This window comes from Homo sapiens, chromosome 20, assembly GCF_000001405.40.
Source record: "Homo sapiens chromosome 20, GRCh38.p14 Primary Assembly".
Taxonomy (NCBI): Eukaryota; Metazoa; Chordata; class Mammalia; order Primates; family Hominidae; genus Homo; species Homo sapiens.
Window position 1 is genome coordinate 63,487,724 of NC_000020.11, and position 19,877 is coordinate 63,507,600.

Consider the following 19,877-nt stretch of genomic DNA (forward strand, 5'->3'; position numbering starts at 1 on the left):
AAGGCACCATTCTCTGCCCTGAGTAGCCATGGAGAAGCCCCTCAAAGCCACCCAGGCCACCTGGCCTTCGGATGGGGTCTTGCTGCTGGGCCACGGCCTGGGGGACACCAGGCCCTCCTCAGCGAGCGCTCAGCGCTCACCCTGTGCAGCGCAGGGGACCACTCTTGCAGGCCCACCGCCCACCCTGGGGTCCCCGGGCAGGGAGTGAAGGATGCTGGGCCGGCCACTTGGGCAGGGAGGGGGTCCGGGGGGCGCGGGGCCCACCCCCCAGCAGCAGGCGCACACGGCTCTGGGGTCGCTCAGTTTATTGGTAAAACGGGCACTGAGCGTGGCGAGCGCTGGGCGCGGAAGCCTGGGGCGGGGGCGCCTTTCCTCTTGAAGAACTTCCACTGGACCTTGATGGCGAGCATCCAGTCGCTGACCGAGGGCCTCTGGCAAGCGGAGGTGCAGACATGCGCCTGGCGGGGGTGCGGGGCGCCGGACCGGCGCGCGGGGCGGGGGCGGGGCGGGGGCCCGGGCCCGGGGTTCGGAGCGCGGCACCGCCGGGGAGGGTCGCGCCGCGGGCGCCCGCGCTTCACTTGCCCGCCTTCTGCGCCTTCTGCGCCGACTTGGTGACCTTGCCGGCGCCGCCGCTCTTCTTCTCCACGTTCTTGATGACGCCTACGGCCACCGTCTGCCTCATGTCGCGCACGGCGAAGCGGCCTGGGGGGCGGGGGGCGGCGTGTGGGCGGGGCCGGAGGACTTGACCCCCCCCAACCCCAGGGCTCTGGCCGGGCGGGGGCGCAACCGCGTCGGGAATGTCCTCGGAACACGCTTAGCGCAGAGCGCGCCCCTGTGAAGACGGCCGGCCTCGCGGGAGTCCTGCCTGGGCGGCTGCTCCACGGTCTGCGGGGCGGCCACGGGGCGGGGGCAGCCCTAACGCTGCCACTGGGCGACCGCGGGCCTTCCTCACTCGCGGGGCCTCCCTCACTTTCGGGGCCTCGTCTGCACACAGGGCCCACCCCAGCTCGTCTGGGCAGGGTCACCTGCACTCAGTGACACGGAGGCCGTGGCTCTCCTGCCATGCTCTGGGCCAAGCTCCGCAGGAAAGGGGGCCCACTGCTGTCCCCAGCGCCCCATCCCCGCAGTCCTCTGCCCTCAGCCTGGATCAGCCACAGCCTGGGGGCTGCACCTCCCCGGACCACCCCGGCTCACCGAGAGGCGGGTACTGGGAGAAGCTCTCCACACACATGGGCTTTCCCGGCACCATCTCCACGATGGCCGCGTCTCCAGACTTCAGGGACTTGGGGTTGTCCTCCAGCTTCTTGCCAGAGCGCCGGTCAATCTTCTCCTTCAGCTCCGCAAACTTGCAGGCGATGTGGGCTGTGTGGCAGTCGATGACCGGGGAGTAGCCGGCGCTAATCTGCCCCGGGTGGTTCAGGATGATGACCTGCGAGCGGAGCCACAGGCGGCCATCAGGCACATCGGCGGTGGGCACCGGGAGGGCGCCAGAGCGGGGCTGGGAGGCCCAGTCACCGGCGCCCCTGCACGGGCTCCTGGGCCCGGAGTGCTGACTGGAGGGGGCTCAGGCTCTGAGGACCCAGCCCCCAGACCTGAACCTCAACATCCTCATTAAGCAAAAGATAAACAACTGAGATTCATTGTTTCGAAGGGGCAGGGGCAGCACTTACACGGCCAACCCCAGCTGGAACTAAGGCGGGGGGGTGACAAAACTGGACCTCAATTCCTGTGTTTCAGTTGTATCTCAATAAAGCCACTTTTAAAAATCATATGAAGAGGCCAGGCACGGTGGCTCACACCTGTCATCCCAGTACTTTGGGAGGCTGACGCACGTGGATCACTTGAGGTCAGGAGTTCGAGACCGGCCTGGCCAACATGGTGAAACCCCGTATCTACTAATAATACAAAAATTAGCCAGGCGTGGTGGCACATGCCTGTAATCTTACCTACTTGGGAGGCTGAGGCAGGAGAATCACTTGAACCCGGGAGGCGGAGGTTGCAGTGAGCCGAGATCGCACCACTGCACTCCAGCCTGGGCAACAGAGCGAGACTCCGTCTCAAAAAAAAAATAAATAAATCATATGAAGAGGCCAGCAAAGAGGGGCAATGAAGACTGTAGAGAATAAAAGTATGACAGAGATGTCTCAGACAGTAAGTTAACAAAAGCGTTTTTCTAGGACGAATGTAGGACCTCAAAGGCTGGGCATCCCAGCAGTGCAGCGTGGAAGACAGACCCGCGATTGCACACAGGCTGGGAGCCACAGGGCCTGCACCCCTCCCAGAACTGATTGATCCCCTCGTTGAGTGCTCGGTGGCCCCCTCGGTGGTATGCGGGTCCCTTTTCTTTTTTTTTTTTTCTTTTGAGACGAAGTCTCGCTCTGTCACGCAGGCTGGAGTGCAGTGGCGCAATCTCGGCTCACTGCAACCTCCGCCTCCCAGGTTCAAGCGATTCTCCTGCCTCAGCTTCCTGATAGCTGGGACTACAGGCACGTGCCACCACGCCTGGCTAATTTTTGTATTTTTAGTAGAGACGGGGTTTCACCATGTTGACCAGGATGGACTTGATCTCTTGACCTCGTGATCTGCCCGCCTCGGCCTCTCAAAGTGCTGGGATTACAGGCGTGAACCACTGCGCCCAGCCTGAGGGTCTGGTTTTCTCCCCACGCCAGGCCACCTGCCGACAGCAGCCTCACCCAGGACAGTCCTGCTGCTGTCCAGCAGGCGCCAGCCCCCTGGACCCAGCGCAGCCCCCCACCTGGGAGGTGAACTGAGCAGCCTCCTGCGGCGGGTCAGACTTGCTGTCCCCACACACGTTGCCCCGCCGGATGTCCTTCACCGACACGTTCTTCACATTGAAGCCGACGTTGTCGCCGGGCAGAGCTTCGCTCAGAGCCTCGTGGTGCATCTCCACTGACTTCACCTCAGTGGTGATGTTCACTGGCGCAAAGGTCACCACCATGCCCGGCCGCAGGATGCCGGTCTCCACCCGGCCCACGGGCACCGTGCCAATGCCTGCAGAGGGGAGGGGGTGTGAGGGGAAGGTGGGGCCCGAGGGGATGCTGGGGCAGGATATTCGGGGACAGAGCCTGGAAACCAACAAAGCCTGGGACTGGATCCCCCCGACAGGCCTGGGGGTTGGGGCCACATGGGCGGAGTGCAGGGGAAGGGAGGCCAGGGACAAGGGCAGACACAGAGATTCCAAGGGAAGTGGGGGCTCTCCCACCCAGCTGGGGAAATAAGAGGCTGAGCAGCAGAGCTCCCAGGAACCCACGGAAAAGCCACAGGGACAGAGAAGCGGGAGGATGGGCAGAGAGGGGCTGTCTGAACCTGGGGTCCCATCCTTGCCCCCGGAGAGCACTTTCCCTCAAAGGAGGCACTATGGGACCCCTCCTTTGTCTGAGGACTCCTCCCTGTGAGTGTGGGCGGGGCGACTGACTGCTTCTGCCTGGGGCCTGGTGGCCCTGCTCCCTGCTCCCTGCAGGCCCTGCTCCCTGCTCCCTGCAGGCTCTCTGGGCCCCACTTGGATGCTGCAGGTCTCTATCACTAAAGGGGCCTCTCAGCCAGATGCAGCACAGGCACAGCGGCACATGAGCGTCCCTGGCATTTCTCATGGATCTACTTAAACCAATTGTGCAGCTGCCACATGGGGGTCTTGTCCCCCCCCAGGCTACTGGGTCTCCACCCTCACCTCCCAGGGCTGTGAGGGAGGCCTGTTGTAGCCTCCAGCCAACTTCACTGAGGCCAGTGGCTGTGCTCTGTGCTGGGGTGAGCATGATGCCCCCACAGTGCACACAGAGATGCCTGCAACATCTTTGGCTGCAGCCCACTGGCTGGGGGTCTCCTATCAGTGCCCTTCTCTAGGGTCTCAGATTTGTTTATGGTTTCTCTTCTTGGTGGGATGGATGGATGGATGGACGGATGGATGGGGAGGTGGGTGGATGGATGGATGGATGTATGAATGGGGTGGTAGATGGATGGGGAGGTGGATGGACAGAAGGATGGGTGGGGAGATGGATGAGTAGGGAGATGGATGGATGGATTGGTGGATGGATGGATGGATGGATGGATGAGGAGGTAGATGAGTGGATGGACAGAAGGATGGATGGGTAGGAAGGTGGGTGGATGAATGGATGGATGGGGAGGTGGATGGATAGATGGATGGATGGATGGATGGATGGATGGATGGATGGGGGGATAGATGGATGGATGGATGGATGGACGGACGGATGGGGAGGTGGATGGATGGATGGATGGATGGATGGATGGATGGATGGATGGATGAGGAGATGAACGGATGGATGAGATGGATGGATGGATGATGGAGGGAAGGATGGCTGGGTGGGGAGATGGATGGATAGAGAGGTGGATGGGTGGATGGGGAGATGGATGGATGGATGGATGGATGGGGAAGTGGATGGATGGGGAGGTGGATGGATGGATGTATGGGTGGGTAGGTGGGTGGATAGATGGATGGATGGATGGATGGATAAATGGATGGATGGAAGGATGGATGGATAGGTAGGTGGGTGGATGGATGGATGGATGGATGTACAGAAGGATGGATGGGTGGGTAGGTGGGTGAGTGGATGAATGGATGGATGGATAGATAGAAGGATGGATGGGTGGGTCAATAGATGGATGGATAGAGAGAAGGATGGATGGGTGGGTAGATGGATGGATGGATGGATGGATGGATAGAGAGAAGGATGGATGGTTGAGACAATGGATGGATGGATGGATGGATGGAGAGATGGATGGATGGATGGATGGACAGAAGGATGGATGGGTGGGGAGGTGGATGGATGGATGGAAGGATGGATGGATGGATAGAGAGAAGGATGGATGGGTGGGACAATGGATGGATGGATGCATGGATGGATGGATGGAGGGATAGAGAGAAGGATGGATGGGTGGGACAATCAATGGATGGATGGATGGATGGATGGATAGAGAGAAGGATGGATGGGTGGGGAGATGGATGGATGGATGGAGAGGTGGATGGATGGATGGATGGATGGATTGATGGACAGAAGGATGGATGGGTGGGGAGGTGGATAGATGGAGAGATGGAGGGATGGTTCGATAGAGAGAAGGATGGATGGGACAATGGATGGATGGATGGATGGAGTGAAGGATGGATGGGTGGGGAGATGGATGGATCGATGGATGGATGGATGGATAGATAGATGGATGGAGAGGTGGATAGATGGATGGGTGGATGGATGGACAGAGGATGGATGGGTGGGGAGGTGGGTGGATGGATGGATGGATGTGGGATGGACTGTCCCACAGAAAGTGTGTGGTAAGGGGAGAGATTGGAGACAGCCCAGTCTTGAGATGCCTTGTAGGGGCCCCTGGTCTAGGGCAGGCAGAGCTGGCCAGGCAGGAGCTCCAGCACAGCGCCCTTGCTCACCGCCAATCTTGTACACGTCCTGCAGCGGCAGGCGCAGGGGCTTGTCCGTGGGGCGCGTGGGGGGCAGGATGGTGTCCAGGGCCTCCAGCAGGGACACGCCGCTTGCGTTGCCCTCCTTACGCTCCACCTTCCAGCCCTTGAACCACGGCATCTGGACCAAAGGGAGAAAATCAATCCGTTAAGAGACATTGGTGGCCTCCCCACCCTCAGGCCTCCCCAGGGTGCTTCCAGGAGTACTGCTGTTCAGGCTAAACTTGCCTCGTGCCCTTTGAGATGAGGAATTTCCCCACCCTGCTCCTCCCCAGCCCATAGCCCCAGCATCACAGGGACTCTGGGAAGGAGATCCCTCTTAAAAGGAGGAGGACAAAGAGGGAAAGCACCCTTCCCAGCCCAGGCTGCTCAGGAGTTGCTGACACTGTGAACAAATCCCCAGTCCAGCCCCAAGTCCCCGAAACCCCGGGCCCCTGACCATCAGCTCCAGGCAGGGCAGATGACTTGACTAGGAGGATGCTGAGTCTGGCCAAGGGCCAGGCCAGGGACAGAGCTGGAGGAGCCTCGCCCCACCCTAGCTTCTGGACACCGTGCTGCCTCCGAGCTTGGCCCAGCCTTGTCCGGAGCTTCTCCTAGTGTGGCCCCCACTCCCATCCCATGAAGCCTCCCTCTGGGCCACCTGCCACAAACAGGGAGCAGGGGAGGGGGCCGGCAGCACAGTGCCCCAGCCCCCCAGGGCCTGTGTAAGCACGAGCCACCTAGCAGCTCAGGCCAGAGGGGAGTGCAGGGTCCCTGATGGCTGGAGGCCTCCCTGGGGAGGGGAGAGTGGCGTTCGCCACATGATACCCCATGAGGAAAACGCCATCACAGGTAAACAACACCGAGCCTCGTGAGATGGAGGCGGAGCTGGGGGAGTCCCTCCCAGTTCTGTCCCCAGACCTCAGCTCCAGGCTCAGTGCTGCTGGTCTGTCTCCCTGCTGTCTCTAGACTCCACACCTGCACCCTCACTGTGGGCAGCGACAGTGCTGGCAGAGCCTAGTGGTGGCCATTCTGGGGTCTCCTCTGGCTTGGAGAACCCTGGGAACAGTCTCAGGTTCTGCAAGTGTCTCCACGCGTCACCTCCAGCCAAGGCAGAGTCCCTGGGCTACAGACTGTTCGCACGTTGAGCTCCCAGGTGACCGGCCAAGAGCCAACCCTTGGCCATCCCAGCAAGCCCAGAAGCATGCACACTTCCCAAAGCCCAACCCTGCTCCAAGATCCCAGGGGAGGCAGCCAAGGAGGCCCCCACGGCCCAGCCCAAAGCCCCTGCACGGTGTCCAGGACCAGGACAATGGCCTGGCAGAGATGAAACCGACCGCCCCCATGGCAGGGCTCTGGAGACCAAGCACATGGGCCTGGTGCTGGAGGCCGCTGCCCCTGCTGTGTTGACATCGTAGATGGGCCCTGGCCCCGGCCAGCCGCGTGGGAGGCTGAGTGTAGGAGCAAAGCCCGGTGCTGAGGGGCATGGGGCTCCCCGCCGGGCCCTGAGCCAGTTAGGGAAACCCAGCAGGTTTCGAGGGGAACCTGCATTTCCCGGGGACAGGCCCTCGACCTCCCCGTGCCACCTGCCGGTGCCTCGCTCTGGGCCAGGGGGTCCAGCCAGCTCCCGTGGCCCGCCCCGCCCTAGCCGCCACTCACGTTGGGGGAGGGCTCCAGCATGTTGTCACCGTGCCAGCCGGAGATGGGCACAAAGGGCACGGTGGCCGGGTTGTAGCCGATCTTCTTGATGTAGGCGCTGACTTCCTTGACGATCTCGTCGTAGCGCTTCTCGCTGTAGGCCGGCTCTGTGGAGTCCATTTTGTTCACGCCCACGATGAGCTGCTTCACACCCAGCGTGTAGGCCAGCAGGGCATGCTCCCGCGTCTGCCCATTCTTGGAGATGCCCGCCTCGAACTCGCCCACGCCCGCCGCCACGATCAGCACTGCGCAGTCCGCCTGCCCGGCAGGGGACACAGTGAGCCCTGCCCCGCCTGCCTGGCAGGGGACAGAGCGAGCCTGGCCCCACCTCACTTCCAGGCCTCTCCAGGCAGCGGGCTGGGGCCTGAGCAGCCCACTGGGGCCTTGGGGAGGGAGGCATGGGGGTCCCCACTTCAAGGGCAGCATGGGGGCTCATCGCCAGGCCCTGGGTCAGGGGACCGAGGTTCAGCCCTGGCTCCACCACCAGTGGGCTGTGTGTCCCTGGACAAGTCACTCAGCCTATCTGCTCCTGTTCCTCACTTGAGGACGGATAGAAGTCACAGTTATCAAAGCAGTTTGGAGGTGGTGGCATGTGTCCTGCTGTCTGCAGGGTGCTGTGTCTGGGGTGTCCGTGCGTCTCTGTGAGTGCCCTGAAATGTCATACAGTCTACACCTGGCGGGTGGCACCTCTGCCCACTGCTCACTCTCCCCATCCTGGCCTCCAACCCCTCCATGTATGAAGGTGTGTCCACGTCCCCATCTGCCCCCATCTATCTGGGGACTCTGACACTGGCTGGATGCCTTCACAGGCACTGGTTCAGATGCCAGAGCACTGGATTCATCCTTAGGGGGGCTCTGAGCCAGACTGGGTGAGGGTGGCCCAGGTGAGGGGTCCCCTGCCCTCACAGGAAGCACAGGAGACCCTACCATCCCAGTGACCCCAGGGGCCCCCAGTGTCCCTTGAAGGGTGCAGCGGCCTCTCCCCCAGCCCCGCCTGCTGTGCCCTGCTCACCTGGGATGTACCCGTGATCATGTTCTTGATGAAGTCGCGGTGGCCGGGGGCATCGATGATGGTGATGTAGTACTTGGTGGTCTCGAACTTCCAGAGGGAGATGTCGATGGTGATGCCGCGCTCACGCTCCGCCTTCAGCTTGTCCAGCACCCAGGCATACTTGAAGGATCCCTTCCCCATCTGGAGCGGGTGAGGGTCACGGCTGAGGGCGGGACCCGGGACCCAGGAGTCCCTGGTGGTGCGAGCTGCTTGTTACAGCAGAGTGGCCGCGAGAGGCGGGAGATGGGCTCCAGCACCCCCTTGCTCTCCGTCGGGGTCCTGGGACGCCGGCCCCCTCCGTCGGGACCCCACACCCAGACCCTGCCCCCCAGGGCCGGCCTCCGCACCTGCTCCGAAATGGGCGCGGCTACGCAGGTCCACCAGCAGGTGGCGCAAGGGCCTGGGAGTCGCTCGCTCTACGAGCGAAGCCGCCAGATGGGATAAACCCCTCCCGGGCGAGGGCTCCCCTTTATCTGAAGCTGCGGACGCCCCCAGATCCCTTCCTCAACCAGAGGCCAATAATACCACCGTGTTTGGGGCTGTCAGATAAATAACCCTCTGTGTGTGTGTGTTTTTTTAAGGTAAGGAGAAAGGAAAACTGAATGAGGTCAGGAGGAGGGCCTGGCCACGCAGCTCCTTCCCGCTGCTCCAGCCTCCCCATCCCTCTGAGGCTTCTCCTCCCCTTCCTCGCTCTGCCGGACACGGGAAGCTGGGGGGCCTCGGCCAGTGAGACCCCCACAGAAGGGGACGGGCTTCAGTCAGGGCAGCAGCGGCGGTCACTACCCAGCTGGGCAGAACTCCTCGCCAGGGCCTCGCACAGACAGGACTCTGCCCTCCAGGAGGCTGCCCAGTCTGGAGCAGACCCAGATGGGACCCAGCTGGGGCCTGAAACAGCGGCCCTCTGAAACCCCCGCCTCCTCCTGACAAGGCCAGGTAAAGGGTGATGCAGCCCAAACTCAGGGGTGCAGCTCAGAGCACCCCCAACCCCGCCAGGGCAGAGGCTCAGCCCAGGACAGCGAGTGCCCCCACCTTGGGCCCTGGCCTCCGCCCTCATCATCCAGGTGAGAGCTCCCACAGGCCCTCCCAGGAGTGGGCTTCTCCCCAGAGTCCTGGGTGGGGGATGGGGATCAGAGAGCAGACCCCGTCTCATGACCGCTCCCCACCACCGTCTCAGCCACCAAAGAGAAATCGCTTCAAAAGGTCAGCTAGGAGGTCACCTCATCCAGGACCCCCACCCCAGGGCTGCCCTGGACAGCAGCCCTCCACAGCCCAGCACAAGAAAATGGAGCAGACGGGCCGGCTGCCCATCAATCAGCTATTAATAGTAGCGTGTGCCCTGGCAGGGCCCTAGGACAAGTGAGGGCAGTACCATCTCCAGCCCCAGCCTTGGCCCTGGGGGGAAGGGGGTAAGGCTCCAGCGCCCTCCAGCCCCAGCTCAACATGGCAGAGTTCCAGAGCCTTCTGCAGACCCTCCCAGGTCACCTCCCTCACCACAGGGCAAGTCCGGCAGCTCGATGGCCACCCCTCCCCCACCAAGCTCCCCCTAAGAGAGAGGCTGCCCCACCAGACCCTCTGAGGCCTGAGTGCCCCACAGCGGGGGTCCCTCCTGCCCTGGAGGAGGTCACCTGAGCCCCATGCCCTGGGGCTGGGAGATGCCAAGCCTGGCCACCACGGGAGTTGGGGGTTCCTTCTCAGGGGGCCAAGACCATAGCCTGGGGAGCTCACCTCAGCCGCCTCCTTCTCGAACTTCTCAATGGTCCTTTTGTCAATACCTCCGCATTTGTAGATGAGGTGGCCCGTGGTGGTGGACTTTCCGGAGTCCACGTGGCCGATGACCACGATGTTGATGTGGGTCTTCTCCTTGCCCATTTTGCTGGGAGTGTGAGGGGCTGGCGGGACCCGGGGTGCTCTGGCTCAGGGCGAGGGGGGCTGCAGTGATTCTGTGGGGCCAGTGGTGGTGGGGAGACCGGTGATGGGGAGCCCCAGGGGGAGACACCAGCAGAGACTGTCCTGGCACAGGCTGGACAGGCATCCCTGCCCACAAACCAAGCCCCCATGTTTGGTGGGGAGGGAAGGGCCCCCACCCACAGCTGGGCCTGGCCAGGGCAAGCAGAGGCTGTGCACTGCCCCCACCCCACACTTGAGCCCAAACAGCCCCATCTGCTGTAAATAACTGGGCGTTGGAGCCCGCGGGCTGCTCCTTGGGAAGGGGTTAGCCACCATTTGGAGAGACCACGCAGCGCCAGGCTGGGTACGTCCGTGACCAGCAGAGCCGGGTGATGAGTCACCTGCCCAGCGCTCCAGGGCCCTGTCCTGCACGCGCACTCCCCTCCCCGGCGGCAGGGCCAGGGACACGGCGCCCCACCCCCACCCGCTGCCACCGGGGAGAGATGGCCACTGCTCCCCACTCCCCTCCTCAGGCAGGGACGGCGCCATCTTCCCCTCATCCCTGCCCGGCAGGCTGGGCCAGAGCCCCGACGGAGATGCGCTGCCCAGATTAGGAACCCAGAATAGCTCTAGGCACCCCCCTCCCGGACTCTCACAGGGACAGACAGCGGCCGGGAGGTGGGGGTCCCTGTTCCAGCCTGAGGAAGGAGGACCCGGCCCTGCCGAGCCCAGCAAGTGCCAGGTGGAGATGCCCTCGGCCCCGTGGGGGTATAGGGGGCACCCTCCCTCCCCCCCTCCCTGTGACTCAGGACCCTGGGTCACAGCCCTGTCCCATCACAGAGGTCAGTGGAGAAACCCACGCTGCTCCTCGCGGACAGGTGGCTGGGGGAGGGAAAGAGGACAGAAGCCACCCTGGGGTGGGAACACGGGTGGGGGTGGGGAGGCCAGGGCCCCCAGATCTCACCACCTCCCTCAGCGTCCTCTGGCCCAGCGCCCCGAAGCCCGACCCCCATCAGCCCCCGGCCCGCAGGGTCCCCGCGGCCCCAAGGTCACGGCTACGGGGCGATCGCCGCCCAGGACCCGGCCCCGCCGCCCCGCGCCGCCCCCCACCCCGGGCCCAGCCCGGCCGACGCGGGGACCCCCGGAAGCCGGACTCCGGGCGCGCGCGGGGGCGGGTGCGGGGCCCGGCCACCCTCTGCCCCCCAGGACCGGCCCCGGGGGTCCCTCTTCGGAAGACGGGGGCGGGGGCGGAGGCCCGGGGGCCGAGCGTCCTTACCCGGAGCCGAGGTCTCAGCCAGAGGGACTGGCGGCGCCGGCGCCGGCGGTTTTATCTCCGGGAGGGGGTCCACCTATTGACGGTGGCGGCGCAGTGCACCGCGCCCTGCAGCACGCCAATGCGGAACCGCGCGGGAGGGGGCGGGGCGCGGACGCGCGCGGGCGGGCGCCACGGGGACGCGAGGCGATGCGGGAGGCGCGGGCTGCAAAGACGGACGCGGGAGGCGGGGGAGAAACGCGCCGCGGGCGGGGGCGGGGCGGGGGGCAGGGCAGGGAGGCGGCGGGAGGGAGGGACCGGGACGGAGACGGCGCGGGGAGAGCGCGGCGGGCCCGGGAGACGGGGCGAGAGCCGGCTCAGGGCAGGAACACGCTTGAGCCGCGAAAAGCGGTCCCCGGGGACAGGGCAGACGCCGAGGACCGGAGCCGGCAGGCGGGGGAGGGGAGCAGGTGGGCTGCAGCCTGGGAGACGAGCCTGGGTCTACCGGCCCCTCCCCGGCCCTGCTCATGGGGGACGCCCCAGAACCAACGAAGCCCGGCTCTGAGGGGCTCTCCCTAATGAGGCCCGGGGGTGCAGGCCTCAGGGTGGAAATCTGCTGGTTTCCAGTCCCTGTCCTCACGTGCCTGCCCTCCTGGGCGCACCATGACAGGCCCCGAGGATCCAGCGCAGAACCACCCTCCCCCTGAGAGGCTGGTCTCCCACGGTGCAGGGAACGCCGGAAGCCCGCTCCCAGACCCACTGACATCTTCCAGGGACCCTCCCCTCCGGGTGCGCCGACCTCCGGCTGCTGCTGGGAAACAGCGCCAGCCAAGGGCGAGTCAGATCCAGACAGACCCAGGCCCCCCCGCCCAGCGCCCCACCCCGCTGCACCTCAGCGCCTTGTAGCTGATGCTCATATGGGGTCAGGATGCCAAGCCAAAGACCGGGCCACGCTCTGTAGGAAGTGGGGAGTCCCTGAGGTCCTGGCACACGCGGGTAATGACCAACGTGGGTTGTGAGGAAGGGGATGTGGCAGCCATGTGTTGTGTGAAGACCAAGGTTAGGGGCTTTCTCCAGACCCCAAGATCCTGTCGTCTCACCCAGGTATTCAGGTCTTCCCTCCCACGCTGCCCCCCCACCCCCACGCACTCGGATCTTCCTGCCAGCGGGGTCTCGGGAGGTGTGTGCTGAGTGGGGGCAGAGCCCTGGCACCTGTCCTCTCAGCCCTGAGTTCCCACTGGGTGTTGACATGGAGGCCCCGGGTCGGGCCCAGCAGCTGCGACTGGGCAAATCCATGGGGATCCCCAGCGACTGGACCCCTACCTGGCCTGCTGGCAGGTGTGAGGAGGAAGGAAAGGTGGGGGCCCAGGGTCGGGGCCAAACAGTTCTCCCCAGCCTGTGGAGAGGGCCTCTCAGGAGGACCCTGGTCTGTGGCTGCGTCTGCCCCATAGGAGTCCAGGGACTTGGGCTCCTGGGCCACAGGCAGGAGAGGAGGCAGGGAGGGCCTGCTAGGTGCCCCGGCACTTCCGAGTGCTGCCGATGCCGTCAAACAGGAGCCAGGAATAAAAATAACCGCCTGGCAAGAAAGCAAGGCCCGCCCCACCCCACCCAGCTGGTCTCTATATTTAACGCCTCCCCTGCAGCCTGAAGGTTAGGCAGGGATTTGGAAGTGGGCTTGCTGCAGGTGCTCGAGTGGCCCAGGCCGGGGTCCCGGGGATGCCCACCCCACTCCCCCAAGGGATCACCAGGACTCTGGGCTACCTTTTCCAGACACCCCTTCCCCCTCGGCTCCCGGCTCACCCATAGCAGTGCCAGGGGCTCACATGTGCCGTGGGGCCTTGCCACCCACAGGAGTGGCCCCTGAGAGTGGAATGTGGCAACCTCCCCAAAGCACCTGTGTGCTGACTCTGGGCAAGGGTGTCGGTGGCTGCTCCAAAGGGTCTCCCAGGCGCCAGGACACGTTTGGTCCACGGTGTGGCCCCTCGGGGTCCTGGGAGCCACCGACTCAGTTCCGCAGACACTTGGAACACACAGCTAACGGGGCTGCGGTCACAAGGCTAAACACTAACACACTGATGGTTCCGAGCCACCGCGGAGACTGAACAGGACTGAATGGCTACTAACTACGGAATGCTAACTGCTGAATAACGGCAGTGGCCTGACCACGTCCCCAAAGTGCACGAGTTGTAACTTAATCCCCAATGCAACAGTGTTGGGGGCTGGCGCTTTCGGGAAGGAGTCTGGGTCATAAAGGGTTTGCCCTTCCGAATGGATTTGTGCCCTATAAACAGGACTCATGGCAGTGGGTTCTCTCTTGCTCTTCCGCCTTCTCCCATGTGAGGACACAGCAAGAAGGCCCTACCAGATGGCAGCACCTTGATCCTGGACTTCCTGGCCTCCAGACTGAGAAATAAACTTCTGTTTACTTATAATAATTTATAAATTTATAAAGCAAACTTTATAAATGTTTAAATTTAAGTAATGTATAATTACCCAGTCTCAGGTATTCTGTCATAGCACAACAAGCAGGCAAAACACTTGTCAATGGCCGGGTAGCACCAAATGACTTCAAGTACCAAGCATCCTAATTAGTCACAGCCAAGTCGCCCAGCTGTGTGAGTTCACAGTGTGGGGGACGGGGGACAGGGGGCCGTGCACGTGCACAGTGTGCGGGGATGGGGGCTGCGGGGACAGAGGCTACAAGGTAGGCCCCACAAGGCTGGCTGGAGGACCTTGAGAACCTGTGAGGCAACTGGGCACAGAAAGGCCAAGATTCCTGTCCAAGGACACGCAGCAAGTAAGGGGGCCTGTGGCCTGTGCTTTCCCTGCCCTCCCCCAGGTCAGGACTTGGGCCCCTCTTCTTGCATCTGAGTCCCTGGTCACAGTGCCGTCCTCACCAACAACCTGGGGGGGGTGGGGGGAGGGGAAATGGCGAGTCAAGAGGGCACCAGCCAATCAGGGCTTCCCTGGGGGCAGGCCCCGCCCCTCCTCGACCCCTCCCAGAGCCCCCAGGCCCCGCCCCTCCTTGCCGCCTCCCAGAGCCCCCAGGACCCATCCCTGAGCTGTTTGGGGAGACACAGGCAACCCCTTCTTTGGCTGGCTAGGGTTTCACGAGCCTCGGGAAAGAAGATGCAGCTAAAATTAACCGCTATCAAGCTGTCAGCCCTGGAAATAAACCTGCCTCCCATTGGCTGCCGGTGACGTCACTGCTGGGTTAATAATAGCCGCCGAGTGCCTAACGAACCACCTGTGCATGGGGCACAGCCAGGCCATCACCCCGGGGCCACCGTCGCAGGCAGGTGGAGGCTGGCAGCCCAGAGGCAGACAGGGGCTTGGAGGCAGGGTGGGGAGCAAGGCCAAGGCCGCTCTCTGGCCCCCAGTGTCACAGGATGACCTCAGCCCTGGCCTGGCCCCAGAGCAGGTGTGGATTCATTTTCCGGTCACGGAGCATCTCGTCTGCTGGCCCACCTGGGCCCCCTGGACGGCCACCAGGACAAGGCCCACCCCCGCGGCCATGCCTTGGGGCTGGCTCCCAGGGGACTGAGCATGCCCTTGAGGCAGCGAATTAAACAGTCTCCATGGCAGCAGAGGAGCTCCTGCCTCTGGAGCCTCCCTTAGAGGAGCAGCTCATGTCCCCCCAGATCAGAGAAGCTGGGGCTGGGCTGGCAGCGGGCAAACATGCCTGCAGGTCAGGCCACAGACCAGGGCCAGCCACGGCCCCGACAGCCCACCCTCCAACCCGGTATCTGGGTGTGCCTGAGGCAGACCTGAGTCTACCAGGGAGGCCCAGGAGGGATGCAGCCCCTCCGCCAGGGGGAAGGGCGGCCTGGCCTGCCACCCCGACCTGCAGGCCCCAGCAGGGAGCGTTGCCATGGTGAGAGGCAGCAGCAGCAGGATGCCCTCCCTCCAGGCCCTGCTGCCCGGGAGCCCAGCACCCACCCTGGTGGGGAGCAGACAGCACGTGCTCCTGCCGCAAGCAGCACTTTCTGGGCTTCTGGGCTTCCAGCTGCAGTCCCCGCTAGCCCCTCCCGGCCCCTGGCCATTACAGCCCATTGCAGGCTGGGAGGCTAAACAGGAGGCCGGGGTCACCGACCAGGGTGGGGTCACCTCTTGGACCCAAGAAGGGCAGCCCCTGGTGCCAGCACAGGGGCGCTGTGCCCTCCAGTGCCCAGAGGCAGAGGGGAGAGCCTGGGTAGGGTCTGCAGACCATTGACCCTACAGCTGCCTCCTCTGGGCCCTGGAGGAAGAGGGGGCCATCAATTGTGTCTCATTCTGCAGCTGGTCCAGAGAGAATGGGGGGTCCAACGTCTGTGGTCAGGTCTGGAGAGAATGGGGGGTCCAGTGTCTGTGGTCAGGTCTGGAGAGAATGGGGGGTCCAGTGTCTGTGGTCAGGTCTGGAGAGAATGGGGGGTCCAGTGTCTGTGGTCAGGGCCCCCTCAAGGGCCCACTAAAGCAGAGCTCCCTTCCTGGGCCCCACCCAAGGTCCCATCTCCTCTCCTATGTAGCCGGCACCAGGTTCAAGGGGGATCTCTCAAGGTGGGAAATTGCCCTGGGGAACCTGAAGTTCATTAGCAGCTCTGGAGGCCCTGTTTTCACCTCTTTGAATAGCCCTTCCCTCAATTAGGCAGCTGGGAATCTTATGAAGGGAATAACAGGACCCTGCCTGCACCCTGGGGATGAGCCTCCCAGGGGCTGCCGCCCACCATCGCCTCCCACAGAGATTCAGAGCCTCCCCACCCCTGGAGGGACCTCCCCACACGGCCAGGAACCGAGCAGCTGGGCCAGGGCAGGAGGAAGGGCAGGGAGAACACAGAGGGGACGTCTGCCTTTTTAAAGACGTGACTTTGAGCATACATAGAGAAAAGTGACACACTGCAAATGTGCCTGATGAGTTATCACCAGGAAAACACACCCAGACCAAGAAACAACATTCCCTCCTGCCCCTCGGTAAAGGTGACTTCTGACAGCACAGATCACGTTTGCCTGTTTTTAAACTTTATATAAAGGGAACACAATGCACAGTGTGTATCCTTTTGTGTGGCTTCTTTCACACACGACCGTGTCTGTGAGATGCCTCCATGCCGTCCCGTGCAGCAGGCATTTGTTCATTTTCATCACTGTACTGCATTCCACTTCCAGTTCTGAACGACTACAAATAAAGCTGCTACGAACACTTGTGTGCGTCTCTCTTGTGCGGGTGTACCTGCTCAGTACACACCCCAGGATGTTTCAGCCACATGATAGGTGCATTATGCCAACCACTAGTTTATTGTCTTTTGGCTCGAAATTTAACCTTCAATACCTGCTCCACAGCAGTGGACAGAATTACTTTAAGCATTTCTCCTTTACACTGGGCAGATTCATTTTTTTTCTTTTCTTTTTTTCTGAGACAGGGTCTCACTCTGTCCCCCAGGCTGTAGAGTAGTGGCACAATCATGGTTCACCACAGCTTCGGCCTCCCAGGCTCAAGCGATCCTCCCACCTCAGCCTCCCAAGTATTTGGGACTACAGGTACACACCACCACGCCCAGCTAATTTTTGTATTTTTTATAGAGATAGGGTCTTGCCATGTTGCCTAGGCTGGTCTCCAACTCATGGGCTCAAGTGATCCACCCGCCTTCGTCTCCCAAAGCCCTGGGATTACAGACGCGAACCACTGCACCCAGCTGAGATTCACTTTTTTGAGGAAGGCAATAAAGGGTGAATTTGCAGCTGGAAATAAATCAATTGATAATTGGCTTTTACCCCTTGAGCGTGGGTTGCATTGTCCTGTTTCTTCGTGTGTCTAGTGATTTTTGACTGAATACTGAACATCATGTGGAGAGTCTACTCTGCTTCCTCCTCTGAAGCTGTCGGTGTTTGCTTTGCAGGTTGGTTCACTGCTGGGCCCTGTGGACTTGTTCTCATGCTTTGTCAGTGTCGATGTCGAAAGCCCAAAGTGTTTCCCAAGTCCTGCTACCTTGGTAAGACTCAACCCTCAATCTCAGTCTCCCCTGCAGATCTCTGTGGGGCTTGGTCTGAACTTTCGTTAGGTGAGTGTGGAGTAGGCATTATTGTACATTGTAGTCCTTTCTCCTCAAAAAAAAAAAAAAAAAGTAAGGTCTCTCCACTCTAGCCAGGTCCAAATGCCAAATGCCAATGCCGCCCAAGTCTCTCCACTCTGGCCAGGTCCAAATGCCAAATGCCAAAATACTGCCCGACACAGCTTGTCCTCTACTATCTTTGTTCTGCTCTAACCTGGGTGGATACAACCTCAGGTAATCCCTGGTGAGTCGCAGCCTTGAGTACTTTCCTCCGAGAAACACTACGGTTTGTGTCCAGCCCATAGAACACAGAAAGGTGATAAGTCACTCTGTGATTGGCTGCATCATTCCAGGCTCTGTCCTGGGGGACGGAGCAGCAAGACACCCCTGCTGTCTGTGAAGATATGGCTGTTGGAAGGCATGGGAGGGGCCTCGTATCAGGGAACCAGTGAGTGGCCCCAGGCTGCCAGCCAACAAGAAAGCAGGGACCTCAGTCCTACAGCCACAAGGAACTGAATTCTGCCAACAACCACGTGGCCTTCAAAGAGGACCTCAAGCTTCAGAAAGAAATACCAACACCTTGGTGGCACTCTTGAAACCCCGAGCCACCCAGCGGAATTGTGTGTGGGCTCCTGACCCCCCAAAACTGAGAATAAATGCATGTTTTTTAAAGCTACTAAATCGGTGTTGATTGGTTATGCAGTGACGGATAACAGCACAGGGCCTATAGTCACTGCTCTCTGGTGAGCCTCCGGCACCTCCTCACCCTCAGCCACAGGCTTGCAGAGGTCCCAAGCACTCCCCACCAGCAACATGCACACCTAAGCCCCTCACTCCAGTCTCTGCCTCTCATCCCAGGGGGACTGCCGTGCTCTGCCTGGAGCCCTGCTTGTGGGGTTATGGCCAAGGAGAGCCGGGAGTGTGGGCGCCTCCAAGCACCCTCTCGGTCTTGTGCTGTCCTCACCCCACTGCCTGAAGAGAGCAGCGCACGAATTTTGTCTGGTCTCAGAGTCGTTTCTGGAGGGAGACGTACCTGGCAGCAGCTACTCCCCCGCAACTGGAAGCAGCGGTTGACTCCACATCAATACAAAGACAAGGTTACTTCAGTCTTTTTACTTTTATATTTTATTGTTTTACTATTTTCACGGTATATACATTGGGCCTGTCTTTTTAAAAATCTTTTATGACACTGAAACTTTTGAAGAATGCAAACCGGTTGTTTTGTAGATTGTCCCCGCATTGAGCGTTCCTGACATTTCTGCATGAACAGATTGGCACCAAGAGCCAGGCATCCTTCCCAGCACTCGGGACGCTGGCTGCCCACCAGCGGCAACGGTACCTTTGATCCTCTGGTTAAACTGGCATCCACAAGCTTCTCACAGTAAAGTTACCACTTTGCCCTTTGTAACTGATAAGTAAGCCGGGCACGGTGGCTGACACCTGTAATCCCAGCACTTTGGGAGGCCAAGGCGGGTGGATCACTTGAGCCCAGGAGTTCAAGACCAGCCCGGCCAAAATGGTGAAACCCCATCCCTACTAAAAATTCAAAAATTAGCCAGGTATGGTGGCACATGCCGGTATTCCCAGCTACTCAGGAGGCTGAGTCACGAGAATCGCTGGATCCCGGGAGGCAGAGGTTGCAGTAGCCAAGATCATGCCACTGCACTCCAGCCTGGGTGACAGAGTGAGTGAGAATCTGTCTCAAAAAAAACCCTGAAAATTAACAAGGAAGTACTTTTGATACTGGTGGCCAGGGGAGGTCCCCAAATGCGAATGGGACCTTGACCCAGGCCAGTGTCCTGCCTCTTAACACCATCACAAAACGAATTCAAGGATGAGTTAAAAAATAATGAAAGTAGAGATTTATTGCAAAGCAAAAAGTACACCCTCCAGAAAGCAGAGTGTGGCTGGGTGTGAAGGCTCACGCCTGTAATCCTAACACATTGGGAGGCTGAGGCAGGAGTTCGAGATCAGCCTGGGCAACATAGTGAGACCCTGCCTCATAAAAATAAACAAGCAAATAGAAAAAAAAGTCAAAGAAGAAAGGGGAGTATGGGTGTTCTCAAGAAAGTGAGTCGTGAGGCAGGGTTTGGGGCCCCTACCTTTAATGGGTTTCTTTAACCAAGGAGTGGAATATTCATAAAGATTTCTGGAAAAAGGTGAAGATTTCTAGGAACTGTGGTGCCACCCTTTTTTACACCAAATATGTGTGTTCCTGGAACTGTCATGGCACTGCCGAGTGTGATTTGTGTGTTGATGAGCATATAATTAGGTCACCGGTGAAACCCAGGTCAAGTCCGCTGCCATGTGGGTCCAGTCGTCTCGGCCAGCGTGGCCCAGTGGGTCCAGTCATCTTGTCCAGCTCGGCCCAGTGGGTCCAGTAGTCTCGGCCCAGCTCGGCCCAGTGGGTCCAGTCGTCTCGGCCAGCGTGGCCCAGTGGGTCCAGTCATCTTGTCCAGCTCGGCCCAGTGGGTCCAGTCGTCTCGGCTCAGCTCGGCCCAGTGGGTCCAGTCGTCTCGGCCAGCGTGGCCCAGTGGGTCCAGT

The 19,877-nt window shown here is 61.0% G+C and overlaps 1 protein-coding gene and 2 long non-coding RNA genes across 4 annotated transcripts, besides 8 other annotated features; 2 read left to right on the top strand and 1 right to left on the bottom strand.

The window, feature by feature from the left end:
* On the bottom strand, positions 291–11,360 carry EEF1A2 (eukaryotic translation elongation factor 1 alpha 2). Its single transcript, NM_001958.5, has 8 exons — positions 11,335–11,360; positions 9,897–10,111; positions 8,133–8,312; positions 7,082–7,378; positions 5,414–5,564; positions 2,756–3,012; positions 1,195–1,429; positions 291–702 (listed from the first exon to the last, which is right to left on the bottom strand). The coding sequence occupies exons 2-8, from the start codon at positions 10,038–10,040 to the stop codon at positions 575–577; spliced, it is 1,392 nt and encodes a 463-aa protein (NP_001949.1). The 5' UTR covers positions 10,041–10,111; positions 11,335–11,360; the 3' UTR covers positions 291–574.
* Positions 7,138–7,307: an enhancer, noted in NCBI's record as "experimental_60987 CRE fragment used in MPRA reporter constructs". NCBI's record gives its function as "activates a minimal promoter by MPRAs in K562 erythroleukemia cells, with activity observed for both the introgressed and non-introgressed 20:62126299 variant alleles {active_cell/tissue: K562}" and the evidence as "EXISTENCE:reporter gene assay evidence [ECO:0000049][PMID:34662402]".
* Positions 7,981–8,776: an enhancer, noted in NCBI's record as "H3K27ac-H3K4me1 hESC enhancer chr20:62127057-62127852 (GRCh37/hg19 assembly coordinates)". NCBI's record gives its function as "activates a minimal SCP1, AML or CMV promoter by ChIP-STARR-seq in naive H9 embryonic stem cells {active_cell/tissue: H9 hESC(naive)}" and the evidence as "EXISTENCE:reporter gene assay evidence [ECO:0000049][PMID:30033119]".
* Positions 8,371–8,580: a silencer, noted in NCBI's record as "silent region_13154". NCBI's record gives its function as "represses an Ori minimal core promoter by ATAC-STARR-seq in GM12878 lymphoblastoid cells {active_cell/tissue: GM12878}" and the evidence as "EXISTENCE:reporter gene assay evidence [ECO:0000049][PMID:35858748]".
* Positions 9,574–9,743: an enhancer, noted in NCBI's record as "experimental_60996 CRE fragment used in MPRA reporter constructs". NCBI's record gives its function as "activates a minimal promoter by MPRAs in K562 erythroleukemia cells, with activity observed for both the introgressed and non-introgressed 20:62128735 variant alleles {active_cell/tissue: K562}" and the evidence as "EXISTENCE:reporter gene assay evidence [ECO:0000049][PMID:34662402]".
* Positions 10,369–11,164: an enhancer, noted in NCBI's record as "H3K27ac-H3K4me1 hESC enhancer chr20:62129445-62130240 (GRCh37/hg19 assembly coordinates)". NCBI's record gives its function as "activates a minimal SCP1, AML or CMV promoter by ChIP-STARR-seq in primed H9 embryonic stem cells {active_cell/tissue: H9 hESC(primed)}" and the evidence as "EXISTENCE:reporter gene assay evidence [ECO:0000049][PMID:30033119]".
* On the top strand, positions 10,559–13,745 carry LOC124904955 (uncharacterized). Its single transcript, XR_007067719.1, has 2 exons — positions 10,559–10,900; positions 13,602–13,745. It is a non-coding gene; the product is annotated as an uncharacterized LOC124904955 (long non-coding RNA).
* Positions 11,425–11,994: an enhancer, noted in NCBI's record as "H3K4me1 hESC enhancer chr20:62130501-62131070 (GRCh37/hg19 assembly coordinates)". NCBI's record gives its function as "activates a minimal SCP1, AML or CMV promoter by ChIP-STARR-seq in naive H9 embryonic stem cells {active_cell/tissue: H9 hESC(naive)}" and the evidence as "EXISTENCE:reporter gene assay evidence [ECO:0000049][PMID:30033119]".
* Positions 14,091–14,596: an enhancer, noted in NCBI's record as "H3K27ac-H3K4me1 hESC enhancer chr20:62133167-62133672 (GRCh37/hg19 assembly coordinates)". NCBI's record gives its function as "activates a minimal SCP1, AML or CMV promoter by ChIP-STARR-seq in naive H9 embryonic stem cells {active_cell/tissue: H9 hESC(naive)}" and the evidence as "EXISTENCE:reporter gene assay evidence [ECO:0000049][PMID:30033119]".
* On the top strand, positions 14,335–18,009 carry LOC105372725 (uncharacterized). 2 transcript variants are annotated; one of them, XR_937004.3, is made up of 3 exons: positions 14,335–14,731; positions 17,181–17,273; positions 17,632–18,009. It is a non-coding gene; the product is annotated as an uncharacterized LOC105372725 (long non-coding RNA). The 2 variants fall into 2 exon arrangements; XR_007067713.1 differs by having other exon boundaries at positions 17,181–18,009.
* Positions 14,597–15,102: an enhancer, noted in NCBI's record as "H3K27ac-H3K4me1 hESC enhancer chr20:62133673-62134178 (GRCh37/hg19 assembly coordinates)". NCBI's record gives its function as "activates a minimal SCP1, AML or CMV promoter by ChIP-STARR-seq in naive H9 embryonic stem cells {active_cell/tissue: H9 hESC(naive)}" and the evidence as "EXISTENCE:reporter gene assay evidence [ECO:0000049][PMID:30033119]".
* Positions 18,010–19,877: the final 1,868 nt, after the last annotated feature.